The sequence below is a fragment of the Homo sapiens genome, chromosome 14, assembly GCF_000001405.40.
Source record: "Homo sapiens chromosome 14, GRCh38.p14 Primary Assembly".
In the NCBI taxonomy this organism is placed as follows: domain Eukaryota; kingdom Metazoa; phylum Chordata; class Mammalia; order Primates; family Hominidae; genus Homo; species Homo sapiens.
In genome coordinates, this window is record NC_000014.9 from 105,032,857 (window position 1) to 105,056,561 (window position 23,705).

General features: G+C 51.4%; 1 protein-coding gene and 1 long non-coding RNA gene across 5 annotated transcripts in view, besides 4 other annotated features; one reads left to right on the plus strand and one right to left on the minus strand.

Annotated features, from left to right (window-relative positions):
- LOC124903398 (uncharacterized) lies at positions 1-22,921 on the plus strand. Its single transcript, XR_007064368.1, has 2 exons — positions 1-334; positions 22,553-22,921. It is a non-coding gene; the product is annotated as an uncharacterized LOC124903398 (long non-coding RNA).
- Positions 754-1,255: an enhancer, noted in NCBI's record as "H3K27ac-H3K4me1 hESC enhancer chr14:105499947-105500448 (GRCh37/hg19 assembly coordinates)". NCBI's record gives its function as "activates a minimal SCP1, AML or CMV promoter by ChIP-STARR-seq in naive H9 embryonic stem cells {active_cell/tissue: H9 hESC(naive)}" and the evidence as "EXISTENCE:reporter gene assay evidence [ECO:0000049][PMID:30033119]".
- Positions 12,835-13,094: a silencer, noted in NCBI's record as "silent region_6213". NCBI's record gives its function as "represses an Ori minimal core promoter by ATAC-STARR-seq in GM12878 lymphoblastoid cells {active_cell/tissue: GM12878}" and the evidence as "EXISTENCE:reporter gene assay evidence [ECO:0000049][PMID:35858748]".
- Positions 14,630-14,729: an enhancer, noted in NCBI's record as "active region_9129". NCBI's record gives its function as "activates an Ori minimal core promoter by ATAC-STARR-seq in GM12878 lymphoblastoid cells {active_cell/tissue: GM12878}" and the evidence as "EXISTENCE:reporter gene assay evidence [ECO:0000049][PMID:35858748]".
- Positions 16,539-23,705, minus strand: part of GPR132 (G protein-coupled receptor 132) — a 16,036-nt gene continuing 8,869 nt past the window's right edge. For 2 of the 4 annotated variants that reach the window (NM_013345.4, NM_001278694.2), the window contains 2 exons: positions 22,531-23,310; positions 16,539-19,246 (listed from right to left, as the gene is read on the minus strand). In NM_013345.4, the coding sequence (NP_037477.1) occupies positions 18,138-19,246; positions 22,531-22,564 (1,143 nt within the window). In that variant the 5' untranslated portion in view covers positions 22,565-23,310 and the 3' untranslated portion in view covers positions 16,539-18,137. The remainder of the gene's footprint in view (positions 19,247-22,530; positions 23,311-23,705) is intronic. The other 2 variants (NM_001278696.2, NM_001278695.2) reach the window with 1 other exon arrangement.
- Positions 22,754-23,529: an enhancer, noted in NCBI's record as "H3K27ac-H3K4me1 hESC enhancer chr14:105521947-105522722 (GRCh37/hg19 assembly coordinates)". NCBI's record gives its function as "activates a minimal SCP1, AML or CMV promoter by ChIP-STARR-seq in primed H9 embryonic stem cells {active_cell/tissue: H9 hESC(primed)}" and the evidence as "EXISTENCE:reporter gene assay evidence [ECO:0000049][PMID:30033119]".

Here is a 23,705-nt window from a genome sequence, read left to right on the forward strand (position 1 = left end):
CTGCTCTGTCTACGGAGTAGCCATGCTTTTATTCCTTTACTTTCCTAACAACATTTATTTCCCTTTATGTACTCGCCCTGATTCTTTCTTGTGCGAGATCTAAGAACCCTCTCTTGGGGTCTTGATCGGGACCCCTTTCTTGTAACACAACTCCTTTTTTTGGAGTTTTACTTGCTTCCAACAAGGAAGGCAAGTTTTCCTGCTTCCATGACGGTGGAAGGCAGATAACTCCTTTCCGGAGTTCGAGCCTGCTTTCAACAGGGAAGGCAAATTTGAGTTTTCCCCTGCTTCTAGAATGGAAGATGGCAGTCTTCAGCCTGAGACCCATTCCTAGGTAAGTAGCTTAATTGGGTTTTCGTCTTGGCTAAAGTTATGATTAACAACCAGCTGGTCTCAGTTTCTCTTTACCATTAGAGTGCTCAGTAATCATATTGTTGGGATCTTTTTTAAAAAAATGTTTTCCGGTCTTTCTCCCATTAGATTTGACCCACTCTACCTGCCTTGGTCAAATCCGAATGAGAATTCCAAATTATGGGGAACAAGGACTTTCTGAATTACCTAAAATTCCTCACAGATGCAAAAGAGAAAACCAAAACAAAACCATACTCTCGGTTTCCGCGTTCGCTCCCCGTCGCGCTCTCGGTTTCCGCGTTCGCTCCCCGTCAGGCTCTCGGTTTCCGCGTTCGCTCCCCGTCAGGCTCTCGGTTTCCGCGTTCGCTCCCCGTCAGGCTCTCGGTTTCCGCGTTCGCTCCCGGTCGCGCTCTCGGTTTCCGCGTTCGCTCCCCGTCGCGCTCTCGGTTTCCGCGTTCGCTCCCGGTCGCGCTCTCGGTTTCCATGTTTGCTTCCTGTCTTACTTTTCTTCCACCCTGTTCCTCCTTCCCCTTCACCAACTTCAGTACCAAGAAAAAAATCTAGAGGTGTCTAATGACTCAAATCCTGTAAAGAACTCAGAACAATGGCACCACTCACCCCTTTTGGGGTGTTCTGTTTTCTTGGTGGCGTTTCAAGAGTCATGGACAGGTCCTTCTGGGTCTAAGGCTCTGGCTCCTGCTACATTACCTGTATTCTTTGGCTTTGTGGGGGTACCAGAGATGACCTTGCGCTATGAGAGGATTTGAGCTTGGCGTTTATAATCATGGTGGGCGAGAGCTACAAAGTTAGGGGTGGCTGAGGACAGTTTATAGGAAGTGGTCTTGGCTGGGATTTTTTCCCCCTGGGAAGTTGTTGTTTAGGATCCTAATTCTAGTTCGGAGGTGCATTTTAAAGGGTCTTCTCCATTGCCTTGTATGCACATTTGCATGAGGAACTCAACTGTTGTTTTCATAGGTAAATGAGAGATTGAGTTTCCTCAGCTCCAAAAAGAAAGGACATTTTGCTTTTCCCAGTGGAAAGGTGCTCCTGGGTGAATGGGGGCCAAGCAGGAGTGTCCGGGGGGTTGACCCGCTGCGATGTGCGACGGTCCTACAGGAAACCCCCAACAAAATTAGTTTAAAAGGTTGTCCAGGAAGCGCATGTAAGAGTGGCTCACTCCGCACTTTGAGCCCTTCTGGAGGTACTTAGACGTCCTGAGAGAGAAATTGAGACACTTAGACCTCCGGAGAGAGAAATTGAGACACGTGAGAGGGCAGCAATGACTCGTGGTGACACTGTGAAGTCCCACCCGCAACCAGCACAGTTTGACCCATGACACTTGCTAGGCCACAGGTCACTTCCTCCTTTTGAGAAAAAAATGTGGGAAACAAATCATCTAAGAATGAGGAAAGCCAAGGAAAGCAACGCCTCTTGGGCCCCCGTTTGGTTTTATGATGCCTCTGTTTGCAAGTGTTTGTATAAAATGGAAATATGGTCTTTCTGTGCACAATTACGTCAAGGAAAATGCAGCGCCTGAGGGTCGGCCTGCAACTGTCAAGTTCCTAAGTGGGTTTTTTTTGTTTTTTCTTTTGTTTTGAGACAGTCTCGCTCTGTCACCCAGGCTGTTGTGCTATGGCACCATCTCGGCTCACCGCAACCTCCACCTGTTGGTTTCAAGTGATTCTCCTACCTTAGCCTCCTGAGTAGCTGGGATTACAGGCACCCGCCACCATGCCCAGGCTAATTTTTGTATTTTTTAGTAGAAACGGAGTTTCACCATGTTGGCAAAGCTGGTCTTGAACTCCTGACTTCAGGTCATATGCCTGCCTTGGCCTCCCAAAGTACTGGGATTACAGGCGTGAGCCGCCACAGCCGGCCAAAGTTCCTAAGTTCTCTATCTCTCTGCTGTGTTTTCCCTGCTTTAAGTCTGCTGTTACTTTTCTACTGAGATAAAATCCACTGTTTGCATCCAACCATTTCTTTTTGTTATTGTTTCCGCAAACCAATGAGTTTGTATTAATATCGCATGGCTAGAGTTCTAAAGTAAAAGCTATAGGATTTTTGAGTGTGTATGTGTGTGTTTATGTGTATATACCTGTATTTTGTTATGTGTTTTTGGCCACAGGTACCAAATTGGCTTAAAGTTATAGAGTACTCATAAATAATAACCGAAATGCTTTTCAAGTTCATGTGACTTAAGTAAAATCTTTAATAAGCTAGCTTTAAAATTTTGGTAAGGTGATATTAGAACAGTCTTATGAATTGTCGGCATACTTTTTTTTTTTTTTTTTGAGATGGAGTTTTGCTCTTGTTGCCCAGGCTGGAGTGCAGTGGCGCAATCTTGGCTCACGGCAACCTCCGCCTCCCGGGTTCACCCAATTCTCCTGCCTCAGCCTCCCAAGTAGCTGGGATTACAGGCATGCGCCACCACACCCAGCTAATTTTGTATTTTTAGTAGAGACAGGGTTTCTCCATGTTGGTCAGGCTGGGGTCTCAAACTCCCAACCTCAGGTGATCTGCCTGCCTTGACCTCCCAAAGTGCTGGGATTACAGGTGTGAGTCACTGTGCCCAGCCAGCATACATTTCTATTTGCATTTATTGATCAAGAGATTTCATTCTTATCCCTGCCAAATAATAAATGGTGCCAACATTTGGCATAAAGCTCATTAAACTATAAACCCAGCCCAACACAGAATGATCTTGGCTTGGGTAAGTTTTCCTGCTTGTGTAATTTTTGATAAATAAGACGTTAATACTGTTTTAATGAAAACAGTTAAATATTGAATTATTTAGTAAAATAACCATATATTTAATCTTAAGGTTTCTACTCACCTAAATATCTGAAATTCACAGGCTATAAAATGGTTGACAGGGAAATAACTTTACATGATGACTCACAGTTTTCATAAATAATGCAGGTAAACTATTAATATAAAATAATTAGGTGTATGTAATGGGATACATACTTGTAGACAAATGCCATAATTTAGAACCTAAAGTTTAATATTAAGTTAAATAGCAGATATTTCCTTAAATAGGTATTTTTCAATTAAAAAAACTAAGAAAACATTCTTTCTAAAAAATGTGTGTTCTTGTTAAAAGATGAATAATTTTTGTCTAATTTATTTATTGTTATTTTTATGATTATATATATTTTTTGAGACTGAGTCTCTCTATTGCCCAGGTGGAGTGCAGTGGGTGGCACGATCTCAGCTCACTGCAACCTCCACCTCCCGGGTTCAAGTGATTCTCCTGCCTTTTTTTTTTTTTTTGAGACGGAATCTCACTGTGTTGCCCAGGCTAGAGTGCAGTGGTGTGATCTTGGCTCACTACAACCTCTGCCTCTTGGGTTCAAGCGATTCTCCTGCCTCAGCCTCCTGAGTAGCTGGGATTACAGGCACCCGCCATCATGCCCAGCTAAGTTTTGTATTTTTGTAGAGACAGGGTTTCACCATTTTGGCCAGGCTGGTCTTGAACTCCTGACCTCAGGTGATCCACCCACCTCAGCCTCCCAAAGTGCTGGGATTACAGGCATGAGTCACCGCACCCAGCCAATTTTTGTGTAATTTAAAGCTTATTTAAAGATTATGTATAAAACAAGGTAAAGGGAACCAGGAAATAAAAGAGATGTAAAGAAAGTTATAAAAGGCCATGGCCAGGAGCGGTGGCTTATGCCTGTTATCCCAGCACTTTGGGAGGCTGAAGTGGGCAGATAACCTGAGGTCAGGAGTTTGAGACCAGCCTGGCCAACATGGTGAAAACCTGTCTCTACAAATATACAAAAATTAGCTAGGCATGATGGCGGGTGCCTGTAATCACAGCTACTCGGGAGGCTGAGGCAGGAGAACTGCTTGAACCCGGGAGGCAGAGGTTGCAGTGAGCTGAGATCGTGCCACTGCCCTCCAGCAGCTTGGGCAATAGAGTGAGACTCCATCTCAAAAAAAAAAAAAAAAAAAAAAGGCTGGGCACGGTGGCTCATACCTGTAATCCAGCACTTTGAGAGGCTGAGGTGGGCATTATCACCTGAGGTCAGGAGTTTGAGACCAGCCTGACCAACATGGTGAAACTCCGTTTCTACTAAAAATACAAAATTAGCCAGGCGTGGTGGCACATGCCTGTAATCCTAGCTATTTGGGATGCTGAGGCAGGAGAATTGCTTGAACCTGGGAGACAGGTTGCAGTGAGCTGAGATCGCACCATTGCACTCCAGCCTAGGCAACAAGGAGCAAAATTACGTCTCAAAAAAAAAAAGAAAAGAAAAAAGAAAGAAAAATAAAGAGGCATTTTTAGTATTAAAAAAAAAGTTGGCTCGGTGCAGTGGCTTATGCCTGTAATCCTTTTTAGCACTTTGGGAGGCCGAGGCAGGTGGATCACCTGAGGTCAAGAGTTCAAGACCAGCCTGGCCAACATGGTGAAATGCCGTCTCTACAAAAATATAAAAATTAGCCAGGCACAATGGCACATGCCTGTAATCCCAGCTACTCAGGAGGCTGAGGCAGGAGAATTGCTTGAACCCAGGAGGCAGAGGTTGCAATGAGTCGAGATCATGCCACTGCACTCCAGCCTGTGTGACAGAGCAAGACTCTGTCTCAAAAAAAAAAAAATGCTTAGAGAAAAATAATTTTATATGAGAAAGAATCTTGTTTGGTGAATTTTTGTCCTAGAATAAAATGACTGGTTGTTCATGAAAGAGGGATGTTCAGGACAAACCAGAAAGTCCAAACGTCATGAATGGTCTGTGTAAATCATAAGAAGAGGATTTATGGAAAAAACTTTTATAGTTGTCATAATTAAAGGGAAATTGTTTATAATGGTCTTTCTAGAGATTAGGTTTTGATATTTAAAAACTTCCTAAAAAGTTGGTTTGAACAATGAAATTTTCCTAAGGTATTGCTTTACTCTTAATAAAGTTACACAACATTATTATTTTTGTATGCAAAGTTCAACTTCATTGCACCTCTCTGTTTTCCGCTTTCTCTCCCCTTTTAATAGGCCTGAAAGAATAACTCTGTCCTTCAACTAGTGTTTAACTCTTGTAAGTTTTTTATTCTTCAGCTTCTGTTTATTGTGACCTGATGCTAGAAAATGTTTTGTTTTAGAGTTCTAAAGGACGCGTTTCCTTCCAACATAACGTTCTGTGCTCTTGCTTTAAATTGTTCTATGGATCCAAAAATTTTCGCTTATGACCCAGGAAACACTCTTCCTATTGTGGAATGAGACCACCACTTCTCCTGTTGTCCTTCCCAGCTTCTCCCCCACCTCCCCTTTTCCCTAGTTTATAAGACAAGAGAAAAGGGAGAAAGCAAAAAGTTGGAAAGAAACAGAAGTAAGATAAATAGCTAGATGACCTTGGCGCCACCACCTGGCCCTCGTGGTTAAAATAATAATAATAATAATAATAATAATAATAATAATAATAATAATAATGTTAACCCCTGACCAAAACTACTGGTGTTATCTGTAAATTCCAGACATTGTATGAGAAAGCAATGTAAAACTTTTTGTTCTGTGAGCTGATGTATGTAGCCCCCAGTCACGTTCCTCACGCTTACTTGATCTACCATGACCTTTTCACGTGGACCTCTTAGAGTTGTAAGCCCTTAAAAGGGCTAGGAATTTCTTTTTCCGGGAGCTCGGCTCTTGAGACGTGAGTCTGCCGACGCTCCCAGCTGAATAAAAACCTCTTCCTTCTTTAATCCGGTGTCTGAGGAGTTTTGTCTGCGACTTGTCCTGCTACACTATGTGTAACTAATTCAAGTACCTTGTCATCAGTTCTGCCTTGCCGGTGATCTAAATGGACTCCCCGCAGGGAACAGCACTCATACTGCAGAAGGTCTTTTCTTTTGCCTTTGGGTAACTGGCTTTTTACACTTTATTGAAATAATTCCTAAGTTGTGATTTGCTTAGAAAAATTGAGATTAAAATGTTTTTAAATTAAAGTTATTACATCTGTGTAATTTTCTGTACGTGCTTTTAAAATCCTTATGCCATTAAGTTACAGGGCTTTGACTCCTGGGTCTAAAAAGGACACCAAGTCCTGCTAATTTTTTTTTTTTTTTTTTTTTTTTTTTTTTTTTGAGACAGAGTCTCGCTCTGTCACCCAGGCTGGAGTGCAGTGGTGCGATCTCAGCTCACTGCAACCTCTGCCTCCTGGGTTCAAGCGATTCTCCTGCCTCAGCTTCCCAAGTAGCTGGGATTACAGGTTTGCACCACCACGCCTGGCTATTTTGTATTTTTAGTAGAGACAGGGTTTCACCATGTTGGCCAGGCTGGTGTGGAACTCTTGACCCCAGGAGTTCCCAACCCACCTCGGCCTCCTAAGGCGTTGGAATTACAGGCATGAGCCACCCCCACTAGCCAAAGTCCTGCTAAATCTTAAACACTGACAGCAGTTAAAGCCTCATCCTCAGACCCGATAGAAGATGCCAGTCAAAATAAACCGCGTTCCTGAGACACAGGCCAGAAATCAAACCAAAACCAGTTAAAACAGTTCAGTTCCTGAAGGCCCAGGGACTATCGCGGAAGAGGCGGGTGTGTGGATTGTAAGGGGTGATTTTGAGAGATAAGTTAACCATTAATGTTGAAGGCACACTGATGTAAGCCCAGCATATGGGCCTCTGTGTCGGATTAACAAGGTTTTCTTGGAGTATTAACCCAGTCCTTAATAAAAGGTTATAAAAGGCTTATGGAAATTGTATTTTATACTCAACATGATTAAAATTGTATAGATTGGGCTAGGTGCAGTGGCTCATGCCTGTAATCCCAGCACTTTGGGAGGACCGAGGTGGGCGGATCACTTGAGGTCAGGAGTTCAAGACCAGCCTGGCCAACATGATGAAACCCCATCTCTACTAAAAATACAAAAAAATTAGCTGGGCGTGGTGGCGTGCAACTGTAATCCCAGCTACTTAGGAGGCTGAGGCAGGAGAATCGCTTGAGCCTAGGAGGGAGAGGTTGCAGTGAGCCAAGATCCCACCACTGCACTCCAGCCTGGGTGACAGAGCGAGACTCCGTCTCAAAAAAAGAAAAGAAAAATTGTATAGATTGTCGTGCACTTGGTTTCTCAAGTCGCCCACCTGGCCCTCTTCCACGTGTGCTTTCCTTCCCTTCATTCCTGTTCCAAAGTTCTTTAATAAACATTCACCCCTGCTCTGAAACTTACCTCAGTTTCTCCTTCTGCTTATGCCCATTGGTCGAATTCTTCTGAGGAGGCAAGAATTGAGGTTGCCACAGACCTGTACGGATTCACTGCCAGTAACTCAGATACCTTTCACCAGTAACATGTCAATGGAAAGAATCAAACTCTGTAAAACATTTGAAGAGATTTATTTTGAGCCAAATATGAGTGACCATGGCCTGTGACACAGCCGTCAGGAGGTCCTGAGAACATGTGCCCAAGGTGGCTGGGGTGCAGCTTGGTTTTATACAATTTAGGGAGACACAGACATCAATCAAACACATTTAAGAAATACATAAGGCCAGCCGGGTGCGGTGGCTCACGCCTGTAATCCCAGCACTTTGGGAGGCCGAGGTGGGCAGATCACAAGGTCAGGAGATCGAGACCATCCTGGCTAACACGGTGAAACCCTGTCTCTACTAAAAATACAAAAATTAGCCGGGCATGGTGGCGGGCGCCTGTAATCCCAGCTACTCGGGAGGCTGAGGTAGGAGAATCGCTTGAACCAGGAAGTCGGAGGTTGCAGTGAGCCGAGACCGTGCCACTGCACTCCAGCCTGGGCAACAGAGCGAGACTCCATCTCAAAAAAGAAAGAAAGAAAGAAATACATAAGGCCGCGCACGGTGGCTCACGCCTGTAATTCCAGCACTTTGGGAGTCCGAGGTGGGTGGATCACCTGAGGTCAGGAGTTCAAGGCCAGCCTGGCCAACATGGTGAAACCCTGTCTCTACAAAAATACAAAAATTAGCTGGGCATGATGGCAGGCGCCTGTAATCCCAGCTACTTGGGAGGCTGAGGCAGGAGAATCGCTTGAACCCGGGAGGCAGAGGTTGCAGTGAGCTGAGATTGCACCACTGCACTCCAGCCTGGGCGACAGAGTGAGACTCTGTCTCAAAAAAAAAAAAAAAAAGAAACAGAAACACATTGGTTTGTTCCAAAAAGGTGGGACAACTCGAAGCAGGGAGTGGGGAGCACCTTCCACGGGTAACACATCACAAGGAATTTCCTTGTGGGCAATTTGTGTGGGAGGTATGTAGCTTTTTAATCTTTGTAGCTGTCTTGTTTACAAATAGGATTGGAGGGAGGTCTGCCTGCCAGCAGTTCCCAGTTTGACTTTTCACTTTGGCTTAGTGATTTTGGGGTCCCCATATTTTCCTTTCATACTAGCAAATACCCCAAAACCTTCCCACACCCCCGTGGCCACAGTTACTTTGCTGTTCTTGGTCTCAAACTCCTGGGGTGCACTCTTTCTCCACCAGTGGTGTGATCATGGCTCACTGCAGCCTCAATCTCCCGGGCTCAATCCATCCTCCCACCTCAGCCTCCCGAGCAGCTGGGACAACAAGCGCACACCACCATGCCCAGCTAATTTTTGTATTTTTGGTAGAGGCAGGATTTTCCTATGTTGCCCAGGCTAGTCTTGAACTCCTGGACTCAGGCGATCTTTTCACTGCAGCTTCCCAAAGTGCTGGGATTACAGTCATGAGTCACCATGCTGGCCTCCTGAGGCCTTTATGTACCTATGGGCTTGCCAGCCGTCCTCCACCCTCCTCTCCTCTCCAAGCCACTGGGGGCCTTGGGCCAAACTTTGTGGGCCCTGCCCTGCCCTGCCCAACCCTTGCACTTGCTCTTCCCACCAGCCCCTCCTCGTGAGCCTCTGTGCATCCCTCCTCTCCGCCCCCTCCCAGTGTTGCAGGGCTCCGGATCCCAGCCCTCACACCGCCCCTCTGTCACCGCCTACTCCCCAGGCGCCTCTCCAGTCCTGGATTAAACGCCATCCACCCTGCACCAAAAGAACCAGGAGGCCACTGCGTGTCAGCCGTGCCCTTATTTTAAGCACCCCAGTTTAGGCCGAATTCTAAGAACATGTGCTCTCCCAGATTCCCCTGCGCCAGCCCCTGGAACTGGTGCCTCTGCGGAGGTGCCACTCCCAAGGTCGGGCGAGTTTACACGGCAGAGTGGAGCTTAACGCTAATTCCCAAGTGGGCCTGACCTAGTCCCGGGAGCCTTGAAAAGAGGACAGTTTTCTGTGGCTGGTGACAGGAGGGGGAGTCAGGGAGGTCCAAGCCTGGGAAGGCTTCAAGGTGCGGATGCTGGTTTGAAGACAGGGCGGGGGGCGTGAGAAGGAACATGAGCACCCCCCAGAAGCAGGGAGCAGCCATCAGTGACACCACAAGGAGGCAGGGACCTCCTCAGTCCCACACCCGGCTTCCCAGCGACAGGAGCGAGCTTGGAAGGGGACCCTGAGCTCCAGACCAGAGCGTGACCAGCTGCCGCCTGACTCCAGCGTAAGCAGAGACCCACAGACTGCAAGCTAAGAAAGGTGGGCTGCTTGAAACCACGCAATTTGTGGTAACAGGAGAGGAAGACCACCAGCTACCTGAGGCTCCTCCGAAGCACTGGGTTCCTCCTGCAGCCTCTTTCTTTCACCTCCACCTCCCATCTGCCCGCCAGCGTCCTCGGCTCCACCTTCACACACATCAGGATCTACCCACCTGCAACCGCCCGCGCTGCTGCCCAGTTCGGAGGCTCACCTGCACCCTTGGGCCGCCTCCAGATGCTTGTAGCTCTTCCTGAGTATCCAGGCACTTCCACGACAGCCAGCGGGCCCTTAAATGCGAGTTGGCTGCATTGGCCTCTGCTCAGGAGTCCCCGGCACAGCCGTCTCAGGTGCTCAGAGGGAACTCCATTGTCGATGCCTGGCTTCCTGGGCTCTTGCTCCCCGTGGATTCTCACCACTTCTCGAGCACCTGAAGTGCTCCCTGCCCTGGGCTTTTGCCCTGCGCCTGACCCAGACCAGCTGCAAGGTTGCTCCCCACTTCCACTGGTCTGGTCTCAAAAGCACCTGCTCAGAGAGGCCATCCATGGCCCTGTCTGCAGCCCACTCAGCCCTTCCCAGCATAGATGACCCTGGCACGTTGTATACTGGTCTTGCTAATCTTCCTAAGAAAGCAGTGACCTGGATACAGTTATTGTCTCCATTTTCCAGATGAGGACAGCGAGGCACAGAGAGGTTGGGTCACTTGTCCAAGGTCCCAGAGAGTAAAGGGCAGTGCTGGGGTCTCAGCTCAGGCCCTGGGGTCCCAATGTCCACACGTGAATCCTCAGCGTCATGCATGTGTCTCCCTCCAGGCAGAGGGCAAATTTGCTTGCTGTCCAAGATAATAAAGATGGCTTCTCCCTCTGGGCAGAAACTGGGCAGGTTTGCTAGCAGTCCTTTAAATGACTGGTGTTTCCTAACCCAGGGTTCCTTAGCTGTGTGTACAGCATCCACCGGAGCCACTCCTCATTGTCCGTGGGGCTGGGGGGCTGGGGGGAATATGAAGCTCGTGCTGCCTGCTGTGCTGTGAGTAACAAAGTCTTTGTCTCAGACCCAGGTGTCTCATGTCTTGCCCATGTTCAGAACACTGGCAGGCTCACTGTTCACTTGCAAACAGAGGGAACTCTCAGACCATTCATTTCTTCCTTTTTCCTACTTCCCCTTTCCCTCCTCCTTGAGGGCCAGCTTTTAACCTGCCAAGGAGCCAAGAAAGAGACGTTGGAGAGGGCTGGGGATTGCACAAATAAGTAAAAGCATCGGGGATGAAGGATTTGAGGACTCTCGTTTCGGAGAAGGGAGTTGCAAATTAGGAAAGTGGTCAGACTGGACCAACTTCTGGCTGGGTGGATTGAAATTGGAGATATCAGTACAAATCCAGTTCCAATATGGATAGCTGGAAATACAGATGTATATCTATGTGTGTGTATATATCTATGTGTGTGTGTATAGGCATATGTATTTTCTACAGATCTGGAAACAGTGAGCACCCCTAGTGCCCAGATCTTGGATTATTATTATTATTATTTTTTGAGATGGAGTTTTGCTCTTGTCGCCCAGGCTGGAGTACAACGGCGCGATCTCGGCTCACTGTAACTTCTGCCTCCTGGGTTCAAGCGATTCTCCTGCCTCAGCCTCCCGAGTAGCTGGGACTACAAGCATGTGCAACCACGCCCAGCTAATTTTTGTATTATTAGTAGAGACGGGGTTTCACCATGTTGGCCGGGCTGGTCTTGAACTCCCGACCTCAGGTGATCCACCCACCTCAGCCTCCCAAAGTGCTGGGATTACAGGTGTGAGCAACTGTGCCCTGCCTTCTCTACCATTTTGTGACACAGAATGAAAGTCCTCACCAGGGCCATGCCCTTGAACTTCTCAGCTTGTAGAACTGTGAGCTAAGTAAACCTCTTTTTTTTCTGATAAATTATGCAGTCTCAAGTAATCTTTTATAGCAAGACAAAATGGACGGAGACCCGCACATACACACATGAGAGAGAAGGGTAAGCCTGACCTCATAGTGGAAACCTCAAATTCTCTCCCCAGAAACGGTGTAATAATTGCTTATTCATTAATGAATGCAAAATGCTTACTAATTAACTTTTCAGTGGGGAATGGCGGCAGACACCATCATACCCAAGCGATGAGGGTTATCATCACCAGCGATGGCCAGATTGGCCCCGTGGGCCTCCGGTAGGTTGCTGTAAGAGGAAAGTCTCACTTCTGAGGGGTTCCTCCTGGAAATGAAGAAGCCACAGGAAACAGGCAAGGCTAGAGCGAGGGCCATCCCACAAAGACCCATAAGACCCACAAAGACTCACTGAGACAGCGGGGAAATTGGCAGGGGCTCTGCGGAGTCGATGGGGACATTGGATCAGTGGTGGCTTCCTGATTTTTCAAGGTTCACTGCAATTACTTGGGAGAGAGTTCGTTTATTTCCAAAATACTCTCTGAGCTGTTTAGGGGAGCAAGCCTGGAGTCTGCAGCTTATTCTCAAATGCCATATAAGCAGGAGCGAGAGAAGGAATAGCGGGGCAATGTTCACAGATGGCGAATCTGCAGGACAGGAATATCCGGGTCTCTTTGCACGGTGTTTGCCACCTTCTGTAAATTGGGATTTTTTTTTTTTTTTTTTTTTTTTTTGAGACGGAGTCTCACTGCAACCTCTGACTTCCTGGTTCAAGCGATTCTCCTGCCTCAGCCTCCCGAGTAGCTGGGATTACAGGCACACGCCACCACGCCCAGCTAATTTTTTTTTGTATTTTTAGTAGAGACGGTGTTTCACCATGTTGGCCAGGATGGTCTCGAACTCCTGACCTCGTGATCTGCCCGCCTCGGTCTCCCAAAGTGCTGGGATTACAGGCGTGAGCCACTGCGCCCAGCCCCAAAATTGGGAATTATTTCAAAATAAAAAGCTGGATAAATGCATACACACAAGGCAGTATCGCGTATTTTCCACGAGTGCCTGTGCAGGCAGGTAAGGATTTAGGAAAGGTCTGGAAGGATGTGCAAAATGTTCCGCCTGCGAAGGTTCCGCGGTGGCGGGGACACTGCTCCGGCTCCGCTCCCGCCCGCCCGAGCGCTCGGATGGGGCCGCCTCTGCACTGCGTGGCCACAGGCGCGGCCCGGCTGCCCACGGGCGCCCTTTGCAGCTGCTGCCCCCTGGCGGCCGCGGGCGGCTACTAGCGGGAAAGCGAAACCCGCCCGGTCCATTCAAGCCCCGCTGCCTGGCGCCCTCTAGGGTCGTTCTTGGGAACGGGCGGACCTTTCGTCAACACTTTGCCTGCAAGATCCCCCATTGGGGGAACCGAGGAGGAAGTTAAAGGAAGATGTGTGTTTTTGAGCGCTGCTTTGTGCCAGGCTCATCTTAGGTGTGGGACGTGTACTATCTGAATTAATACCCCACCAGGCCTGTGGGACAGTCACTGTCACCATTCGCAAATTATGGATGAAGAAAGGAGGTACCAAGTGGTGGTATCACCTGTCCATAGTGAGCTGTCCCTCAGGAGGGTGGCCGCCCCACGCGACCATTCAGTGTGCTCTCATTCACACGTTCATTACCCAAGAGCACTGCTAGCACTGGGGGCTGGCTCACTCCTGCGATCCCAGCACCTTGGGAGGCCAAGGCAGGCAGATTGCTTGAGGCCAGGAGTTCAAGACCAATCTGAGCAACAGTGAGACCCTGTCCCTATAAAAAATGTAAAAATTAGCTGGGCAGCTGGGCATGGTGGCACATGCCTGTGATGCCAGCTACTCAGGAGGCTGAGGTGTGAGGATCGCTTGAACCCAGGAGGCAGAGGCTGCAGTGAGCTGAGATTGCACCACTGCACTCAACTCCAGCCTGGGTGACAAAGCAAGACCCTGTCTCAAAAAAAAAAAAAAAAAAAGGATGGATGTGGTGGCCTATGCCTGTAATCCCTCCCAGCACTCTGGGAGGCTGAGGCAGGCAGATTGCTTGAGTCCAGAAGTTCAAGACCAGCCTGGGCAATGTGGTGAAACCCTGTCCCTAACAAAAAAAAAACCAGCTGGGTGTGGTGGTGCACGCCTGTGGTCCCAGCTATTCAGGGGACCAGGAGGTGGAGGCTGCCGTGAGCTGAGATCATGCCACGGCACTTCAGCCTGGGTGACAGAGCAAGACTCTGTCTCAAAAGAAAAAAAAAGTCCTCCATATGTGGTCCCCCCTCATGCTGTCTCTTCCAGGCATGTCCTCCCACATGCCAGGAGGCTGCAGGGCCACCAGGATGTGACCTCCTTGGGCTGTGCTCCCCTGCCCCAACTCCAGGCAGTAGGATCCCAGAATTCCCAACAAAACTCTCCCTGCCTCCCTGGCCTATGCGGCCTCTCCCTGGGCTGTCGCTGTGAGGCATCCACAGCCCCTGCCATGCCAGGCAGAGTGGGGATGGTCGGAGGGGAGCGGGTGTGGACGGGACACAGGGCCTTCCGGAGAGCCTGAGGTGCTGCTTCTGAACTGCTCCTTCCCCTGGTGTGCAGGTGTCTTCGTCACAGTAGGACCTGGGAGAACAGTTCCATAGGTCCGGGGGCTTCTCTCCAGCTGGCGAGGAGGTGTGTGGTCCTCTCTCCCTGTCACCGTTACTCAGGTAACGACAGGGCAGTGAGCAGAGCAGTGTTGCCCCTCCTGGACCCTGTCTGAAGAGGCAACTGTGGCTAGAGGCTGGAGGGCAGGGCGGCAGGGCATGGTGCTGGAGGCAGGGGTGGCCCTCGGGGCTCCCCTCCTCATTCCCGCCTCCCTGCGTGGGTCACAGCGGCCTTCACTGTGGCCTCCTCACTACCTGGGGTGCCCCAGGAGCACCTCGTGGAGGGAGTGCCTGAGTGAGGTCAAGCGGGGCGGAGGAAGGGGTCGATGGTGAGAGAGACAGTGAGTGAGCCCAGACTCCACACAGGGCGGCCCCTAGCGCTGGCCACCTCAGCAGCTCCCACCAGCAGCACAAGCTGGATGACAGGGCCAGGGCCTGTGGTCAGTGGTCAGTGGCTGATGACAAAGCCATGCTGTGACCCTCTCTCACTGCCAGAGCAGACGCGGGGCGGTGAGCAGCCAGGCAGGCCCGTAACCTCCACCTCCCCAGCTGCGCCCGTCCTGCAGGGACTCAACCTGCTGCCCTCCGCCCACAGCCCTCGAGGGTCTCAGCATTAAGGGCTGGGCTGGGCCTCCCTTCTGGGTGCCTGGTCCCATTTGGGCCTCACCCTGGGCAAGGTCCCCGTAGCTGCCCCTCCCATCAGGTAAGCCCCACCCCCCGAGTTTCACTCTGAGTGGTTTGTCTTTGCATAGAGCTTCCCCACCTGATGGTGACTGCCGTGGGTCCCACAGGTCCGGTGTCCATTTTTAAATTTCACTGCAGACATTGCGCTCAGGCGCCCTCTGAAACCGCCACAGAGGTGTCATCCCCAGGTCCCATCGGGCCTTTGTCTCCTGGCCTCCCCGTGTGCAGTGGTGCAGTGCTAGCTCACTGCAGCCTCCACCTCCCAGGCTCAAATGATCCTCTCACCTCAGCCTCCTAAGCAGCTGGGACTGCAGGTGCCACCTCACCCGGCTATGCCTGGTAACTTTCCTGCCACTGTGACACCAGCCAGTTCAGGCAGTCCCTCGCCTGAGCCAGGTACTCTGCGTGTCTCAGCCTAGCCCTGCTGTCCCTACCGGTGGGTGAGACGGCGCCCGGTCCCCAAGGCTGGGATCTGACGTGGGAGCGAGGCTCTTATTTGTTGCTGTGTGGCAGCAAAAGATGAAAAAGTGGACTCTGGCTTCAGAGCTGTGAGAAAACAGTGGTTTTTTTTTTTTTGAGATGGAGTCTCGCTCTGTCTCCCAGGCTGGAGTGCAGTGGCGCGATCTCGGCTCACTGCAAGTTCTGCCTCCTGGGTTCACGCCATTCTCCTGCCTCAGCCTCCCGAGTAGCTGGGACTACAGGCGCCTGCCACCACGCCCGGCTAATTTTTTGTATTTTTAGTAGAGAAGGGGTTTCACTGTGTTAGCCAGGATGGTCTTGATCTCCTGACCTCGTGATCCGCCCGCCTCGGCCTCCCAAAGTGCTGGGATTACAGGCGTGAGCCACCGCGCCCAGCCTGAGTAAACAGTTTTTGGTTGTGTTTTTTTGTTGTTGCTGTTGTTTTGTTTTTTGAGAAGGAATTTTGCTCTTGTTGCCCAGGCTGGAGTGCAATGGCACGATCGCAGCTCACTGCAACCTCTGCCTCCTGGGTTCAAGCGATTCTCCTGTCTCAGCCTCCGAAGTAGCTGGGATTACAGGTGTGCTCCACCACACCCAGATAATTTTTTTGTGTGTGTTTTTAGTAGAGACGGGGTTTCATCATGTTGGCCAGGCTAGTCTTGAACTCCTGACCTCAGGTGATCTGCCCGCCTTGGCCTCCCAAAGTGCTGGGATTATAGGCATGAGCCATGGTGCCCAGCCCGGTTTGTTGTTTTAAGCCACCAACTTGTGGGAACTGGTTATAGCAGCCACAGGAAAGCCCCTGCTGGACATCGTTATGATCCCTTTTGCCCCAGCCCTGAATATTCCAGACTGGTCCAGAACCTCAGCCCCAACTTTTCAAGTCCCTGGTCACGGCTGTCCTCTGGAAGCCTAGGGGCACACTCCTCTCAAGGCAGGAGAAATGTTAACTGTGAAGGTTAAATTGGAGAAATGTTAACTGTGAAGGTTAAATTGGAGAAATGTTAACTGTGAAGGTTAAATTGCATTATTTCTTTTATTTTTATGATTTTTTTAATACCAAAAAAAAGAGACAAGATTTTGCCATGTTGCCGAGGCTGGTCTCAAACTCCTGACCTCAACTGATCCTCCCGTCTCGGCCTCCCAAAGTGCTGGGATGACAGGCGTGAGCACTGCCCTGCCTTGTGCTTTTATTTCTAAACACATTTTCCTAATGTATTTTTCTGATGACTCTCAAGGGGAGGATGGCTGTTTTGGCTGGGTGTGGTGGTGCACACCTGTAGTCCCAGCTACTCAGGAGGCTGAGCGGGGAGGATCGCTTGAGCCCAGGAGTTTGAGGCTGCAGTGAGCTATGATGGTGCCACTGTTCTCCAGCCCAGGCAACAGAGCAAGGCCCTGTCTCTAAAAAAATAAATATTAAAAACAAAAACAAAAACAAAACAAAAACAAGGAAGAGCAACTGCATAGCTGCCTGACAAAACGAGAGCGTGGCTCAGCCCCACGGCCCTGCGCGGCCTCCCTGGAAGCCCCTGTGCTGTGCCGGGCACTGGGCTCCCCATGCAGGTGCTGCGTCTGCCCGGCTCTGTGCTCTGAGTGCATGCGATGTGCCCGAGGTGTCGGGGCAGGGAGGAGGATTGATCTCGATGGTGACCCAGTGAGGTAGGTGTCATTGGCCCCATTTTACAGATAGGGAAACCAGGGCATCAGTGTGACCTGGTCTAGGCAAGGCCTTTGCGGCAGACCCAGATCTGACTCAGCCCCGAGGGTGCAGGGAGCTGGCTTTCTCCGCCAGACAAGCAGGCCAACTGCTGCACTCCCCCCTCAGTAAGGGGCTAGGGGTGGGGACCCCACCCTGTACGGACCCCTCACCAGCATCTCCCCGAGGATGCCGCTGGGGACTCCTGGCACCCCTTGCCTCTGCTGTGGCTGTGTCACACCTGTCCTGCCAACTGTTGTTCTGGGCGTGGACATTTGGGGCTCCCCGTTGAGGACGCCTGGGCTGCGCTCTGGGAGCCAGCAGCTGGCCACCCTGCCCCACGGTTCCCTAGAGGCCCTCCAGCTCAGCACAGACCCAACCCCAGATGAGGGCGCCTGCCCCCTTGGAGGTGGTAGGCTGCCCTATGCCCTCCTGGGCGCTGCCACAGTGCTGGGTGACCTCCAGCATGGTGCTCACTGACATTCTGAGGCAGGAGCCCAGAGGGCCCACAATGCACCACCGCATCCAGGCAACGCTTGCAGAAATGCTCCGCAAATAAAGTCATCGCCACTGATGCGAACAGGGCAGCCACCAGGTACCTCTGCCAGCAGGCGTGCTACCTGCCCACAGCCAAGGGAGCCAGCCAGGCAGGCTGCTGATGAAGAGGCCCCACTGCCTGCCACATGCTCTCTGGGCTCCCGGAAGCCTGGAGGTGTCGCTCCTCCCCTTGGCATGCAGCCACCTTCCATGTGGGAAAGCCTGGGGCCAGTGGTCACGGAGGGAGTGGCTTCAGGAACGAGAAATTGGTAGTTTGTCTTCCAGAGGGGACATGGGCACTGTGGCTGGTGGGCTCAGTGCACAGGAACCACATTGCTGGCCCCAGGACCCCCAACCTGCCATCCCCCTGCCACACAGTGGGCTCAGCAGGACTCCTCAATCAGCCTCTTTGCAGGGCATGGTGACCCTGGTGGGTGCACGGGCCTGGAGAAGGTGTAGTGGTCTGCAAGGGCCACGGGCGACTGCAGCTCCTCGGTGTCCCTGCTGTGGGTGAGCCTGGTGACGTCTGTCTTCATGGACCACTCTTTCCACCCCTTATGGATTCTGGACACTTCTTGGCGGGAATGGTCCGTGGCCAGCACGTAGATAATGGGGTCAGCCACGCCGTTCACCGTGGACAGGCACAGAAACACCACAGAGGCTGTGTACAGCCTTTCCTCCAAGCCGCACATGGCGTTCCTGTCTCCTCTGTAGTAGGAAAAGGCAGCGGCTTTGACGAGGAGAACCAGGTGGTACGGGGCGAAGCAGACTAGGAAGATGACAACCACCGCGATGGCCGAGTGCTTCACCTTGGCCTTCTGGGCAGCGCTTAAGCCCATGCTCTGCTTGATGCTCCTGAAAATCCGGTGGTTGGTGAAGGCGATGATGGAGAGAGGGATGGCAAAGCCAACGGTGAACCTGGCGTAGTAGTACCCGGCAATCCTGCTGTCCATCTGCAGCATGTCAAAGCAGGTCTCCTTGTCTTCCGTCTGGAACACCGGGTAGTGAACGATCCCGACGAGGATGAAGATGCAGGCGGAGATGAGGATGGCGGTCCTCCGGCGGCGGCGGCCCCGACTCTCCAGCGCGTACACCACGGCCACGAAGCGGTCGCAGGAGATGCAGCACAGGAAGAGGATGCTGACGTAGATGTTGCAGAAGAAGATGTAGGCGGTCACCTTGCAGGCCAGCAGGCCTAGGGTCCAGCGGTGCTGGTTGCGGATATAGATGACCCAGAGTGGCAGCGTGCCTGTGTACAGCAGCTCGCAGAGTGCCAGGCAGAGCAGGTAGACGGCCAGCACGTTGCCCTGCAGTACCTGCAGCAGCGCCAGCCACGCAGTCAGGCAGTTGGCCGGCACCCCCAGCGTGCACACCGCGCTGTACACCACGACCAGGACTATCCTGCTCTCTTCGAAGGACACGTTGTTGCAGGTCTTGGCGGAGAGGCCCAGGGAGGCCCACGGGGCAGTGGTGGTCACTGGGGTGGCGTTTCCTGTGGGACAGAGACAAGAGTGAGGACGGGAGTCCCTGGAAACCACCTGGGAGAGACTCTACTGTGGGAAGAAAGGATAGAAGCTTTGTGGTAGCTCAGACTAGACACACGCAGGTGTTTAAAACATTTCCAAATTGATTTTTTAGAGCAATTATTAGATAGTGGATCTCCAACCTAGCAGCGTCATGGACAAAGAATGCAGGCTGGGCAATACTGAATCATTTTTCTTTTTTCTTTTTTTTGAAATGGAGTTTTGCTCTTGTGGCCCAGGTTGGAGTGCAGTGGCACAACCTCGGCTCACTGCAACCTCTGCCTCCTGGGTTCAGGCAATTCTCCTGCCTCAGCCTCCCAAGTAGCCAGGATTACAGGCACGTGCCACCATGCCTGGCTAATTTTTGTATTTTAGTAGAGACGGGGTTTCACCATGTTGGCCAGGCTGGTCTCGAATTCCTGATCTCAGGTGATCCGCCTGCATCAGCTTCCCAAAGTGCTGGGATTACAGGCGTGAGCCATTGTGTCTGGGCAATGCTGAGTCTTTGTAACTCACTGAGGTTTTCAAAAATGTTGCTTCTGGCCCGGCATGGTGGCTCACACCTGTAATCCCAGCATTTTGGGAGGCTGAGGCAGGCAGATCACTTGAGGTCAGGCGTTTGAGACCAGCCTGGCCAACATGGAGAAACCCTGTCTCTACTAAAAATTTAAAACAAATAGTTGGGCGTGCTGGCTCGCACCTGTAATCCCAGCTACTCTGGAGGCTGAGGCAGGAGAATCACTTGAACCCAGGAGGCGGAGGTTGCAGTGAGCTGAGATCGTGCCGCTGTACTCCAGCCTGGGCAACAAGAGTGAGACTCCTTCTCAAAAAAAAAAAAAAAGTTGCTTGTGTGTTTGAAAAGAATGTTGATCCTGTAATTGCTGTGTGAGTGCTTTTCTAAGCAGTCTGTTAGGCGCTGCTACTATGCCCTTCCAGCGCTGACCCACTTTGCCTCCACTTCCCACCTGGCCCCATAGCTGGGCACTGCCTCATCCTAATTCCTAACCTGTAGTCTTTTTTTTTTTTTTTTTTTTTTTGGAGATGGAGTCTCTCCCTCTGCTCTGTTGCCCAGGCTGGAGTGCAGTGGCACGATCTCAGCTCACTGCAACCTCTGCCTCCCGGATTCAAGGGATTCTCCTGCCTCAGCCTCCTGAGTAGCTGGCATTACAGGCATGCGTCACCACACCCAGCTAATTTTGTATTTTTAGTAGAGATGGGGTTTCTCCATGTTGGTCAGGCTTATCTTGAACTCCCGACCTCAGGTGATCTGCCCTCCTTGGCCTCCCAAAGTGCTGGGATTACAGGCGTGAGCCACTGCGCCCGGCTAATCTGTAGTCTTACCACATATTTGCCTGTGTGAACTATCAATTACTAAAAAAGATAATTATAAGCTCCTGTGGGAGTGGTGGATTTGTCCACCTCTCCTTGTATTCTCCCAGTGCTTGCTTTACGTATTTGAAGCTACTGTGAATTGGGGCATAGGAGTCACAGATGGTTCTGTCTTCTTGGTGAATTGATCCTCTTATTACTATGTCATGTGATACCCCTCCTCTCGGTGGCAGGAGACTAATGACCCCACCCAAAAGATGTCTGAATCCTAATCCTTGGGACATGTAGATATGGCAGGTTACACGGGAAAGGGGAACTAAGGTTGCAAGTTGAATGAAGGTTGCTAACTAGCTGACAGTAAAATAAAGAGATTATTCTGGACTATCTGGTGGGCCCAATGGAATCACAAAAGTCCTTAAATGTGGGAGAGGGCAAAAGAAAAGGAGATCAAAGTGATCTCAGCAACCTGCCTCAAACACAGCTCTCCGAGGTCAGAAACTCATCCTTTCCAGCCAGGGGGTTGCTAGAGGTCACGCAGGGTGTGCAGTGGTGTGACTTCCCCAAGCTCTGCCAGCGCCACCAGCTCCAGTGTCCTGGCTGCCCACTCTGGCTGAGTTCATGCTTCTGGGCCTTCTGTGGTTACAGATCATGGAGTCCCACCTCCAGGTCAGCAGGAAGCCGCAGACAGACCTGGCCTCAGCACCTGACGGACGGACAGAGCGTTGCCAAACTTATTGGGCCACAGCAGCCCCGGGCGGGGCAAACTTCAGCTGTGCCCTGGCGCGAGGTCAGGGGTCCCTGGGCACTGTCCAGCCCGCTGGCCTCAGGAACCTTCCACATGCAAATGTCGTAGTTTCCTTGACCTCCCTCCTGTACTTGAGGGCCTGTTGACCTCCAGCACGATGGGGCAAGTCACCCCGAACGGGGTCAGCCCTGCGGCCCCATTGTGTCGCTCTTTTTTTTTCTTTTTTTTTTTTTTGAGACGTAGTCTCAAAAAACTGTGTTGATGCCCAGGCTGGAGTGCAGTGGCGTGATCTCTGCTACTGCAACCTCTGCCTCCCAAGTTCAAGTGATTCTCCTGCCTCAGCCTCCCGAGTAGCTGGGACTACAGGCACTCGCCACCACGCCCATCTAATTTTTGTAGTTTTAGTAGAGACAAGGTTTCACCAGGTTGGCCAGGCTGGTCTTGAACTCCTGACCTTGGGTGATCTGCCCACCTTGGCCTCCCAAAGTGCTGGGATTACAGGTGTGAGCCACCATGCCAGGCCACTTGTTTTTGTGCATTTAAAAAATTCAGCTGGGCGCAGTGGCTCACGCCTGTAATCCCAGCACTTTGGGAGGCCAGGGTGGGGAGATCACTAGAGGTCAGGCGTTCGAGACCAGCCTGGCTAACCTGGTGAAAACTCGTCTCTACTAAAAATACAAAAATTAGACAGGCGTGGTGGCAGGTGCCTGCAGTCCCAGCTACTTGGGAGGCTGAGGCAGGAGAATGGTGTGAACCCGGAAGGCAGAGATTGCGCCACTGCACTCCAGCCAGGGCAACAGAGCAAGACTCCATCTCAAAAAAAAAAAAAAAAAAAAAATTCGGCCCCATGGGCCGTTCATTCCTTCAATCCCAACGCTTTGGAAGGACAAGGCAGGTGGATCACCCGAGGTCTGGAGTTCCAGACCAGCCTGACCAACATGGTGAAATCCCATCTCTATTAAAAATACAAATATTAGCCAGGCGTGGTGGGCACCTGTAATCCCAGCTACTTGGGAGGCTGATGCAGGAGAATCCCTTGAACCTGGGAGGCAGAAGCTGCAGTGAGCCGAGATTGTGCCACTGCACTCCAGCCTGGGCGATAGAGTGAGACTCAATCGCAAGAAAAAAAAATTGAAAAAGTGGAAAATTGTGGCAAAATACACATAACAAGGAATTTACCATTGTAACCGTTTTTCAGTAGCATTGGGCACATTCACATTCTTCTGCAACCATCGCCAGCATCCGTCGGCAGAACCTTCTCATCTTCCCAAACGGAGACTCTGCCCCAGGAAGCACTCGCTCCGCATTTGCTCCCAGCCCCCAGGCCTCCATTCCACTTTGTCTCTGTGCGCTGGGCTCCCCTGTCACCTCCCCACGTGGGTGGGCATCTCTGCGTGTCTTCAGCGTGTGTCCTTCCGTGTCTCACGTGCTCCACTCACCACAGTGTCCTCAAGCTCCCTCCTGTTGCAGCGTGTGCCAGGATTTCCCTTCCTTTCAAAGGCGGGATGGTATTCCATTGTATTCAGTGTGTCCTCCAGGGTCTCGCCAAAAATATAAATATATATATATATTCCACTGTGCCCTTCCATCTTGAGCAATCCTGCACGTGTGGCGTGTGGCGTGTGGCGTGTGGCGTGTTCTGCTCAGCCACGACTCCGCTGACAGACGCTCGGCTGCCTCTGTGCCTTAGCTGAGCTGCTGAGAATGACGGTGTCAAGAACATGAGGAGGGCTGTTCACGTCCCTGCTTTCCGTTCTCCTGGGTCAGACCCACAGTTGGCATTGCTGGATCTCACGGCAGTTCCGTCTCATCTCGTGGGGTGCCTCCGCGCTGTTCTCCACGGTGGTGGCGCTGGCCCACCTTCCCCCGGCGGTGTGCAGGGCTCCGGTCTCCCCACAGCCTCGCTGCGCTTGCTGGGTTTCTCCGGGTGAGTGTCGTGTCCCTTGCTCACCTTCCTCCCTGGGCAGAGGGAGAGAGTGGGTGTGACTGGGCTGCCTCACACTCAGTTGTCACCACTTCGCCCAAGACACAGGCCTGTGGCGGGCGGCGGGGGGCAGTGAAGGCAGTTCTCGGGTGGGAGGCCCAACGCCTGTGTTTGCACTCACTGTTCTTCACCCAGATGGCTCTTTTCCCATCAAACGAGTGCCCCAGCCCCGCTGTGCGAGTCCTGAGCTCAGAGGAAGTTTCGGGCCCCCTACACGGCCCCGTCTCTTTCATGACAATCACAGGCCCTGGGAGGCAGAGCCAGAATCCAAAACACAAGGGGAGATGCAGGCAAGACCCGGGGTGGCCAGAGGGGTCCCTCCCACCTCAGCCTGCACAGAGCCGCTCTGGTCTGTTCCCTCCCCGACTTC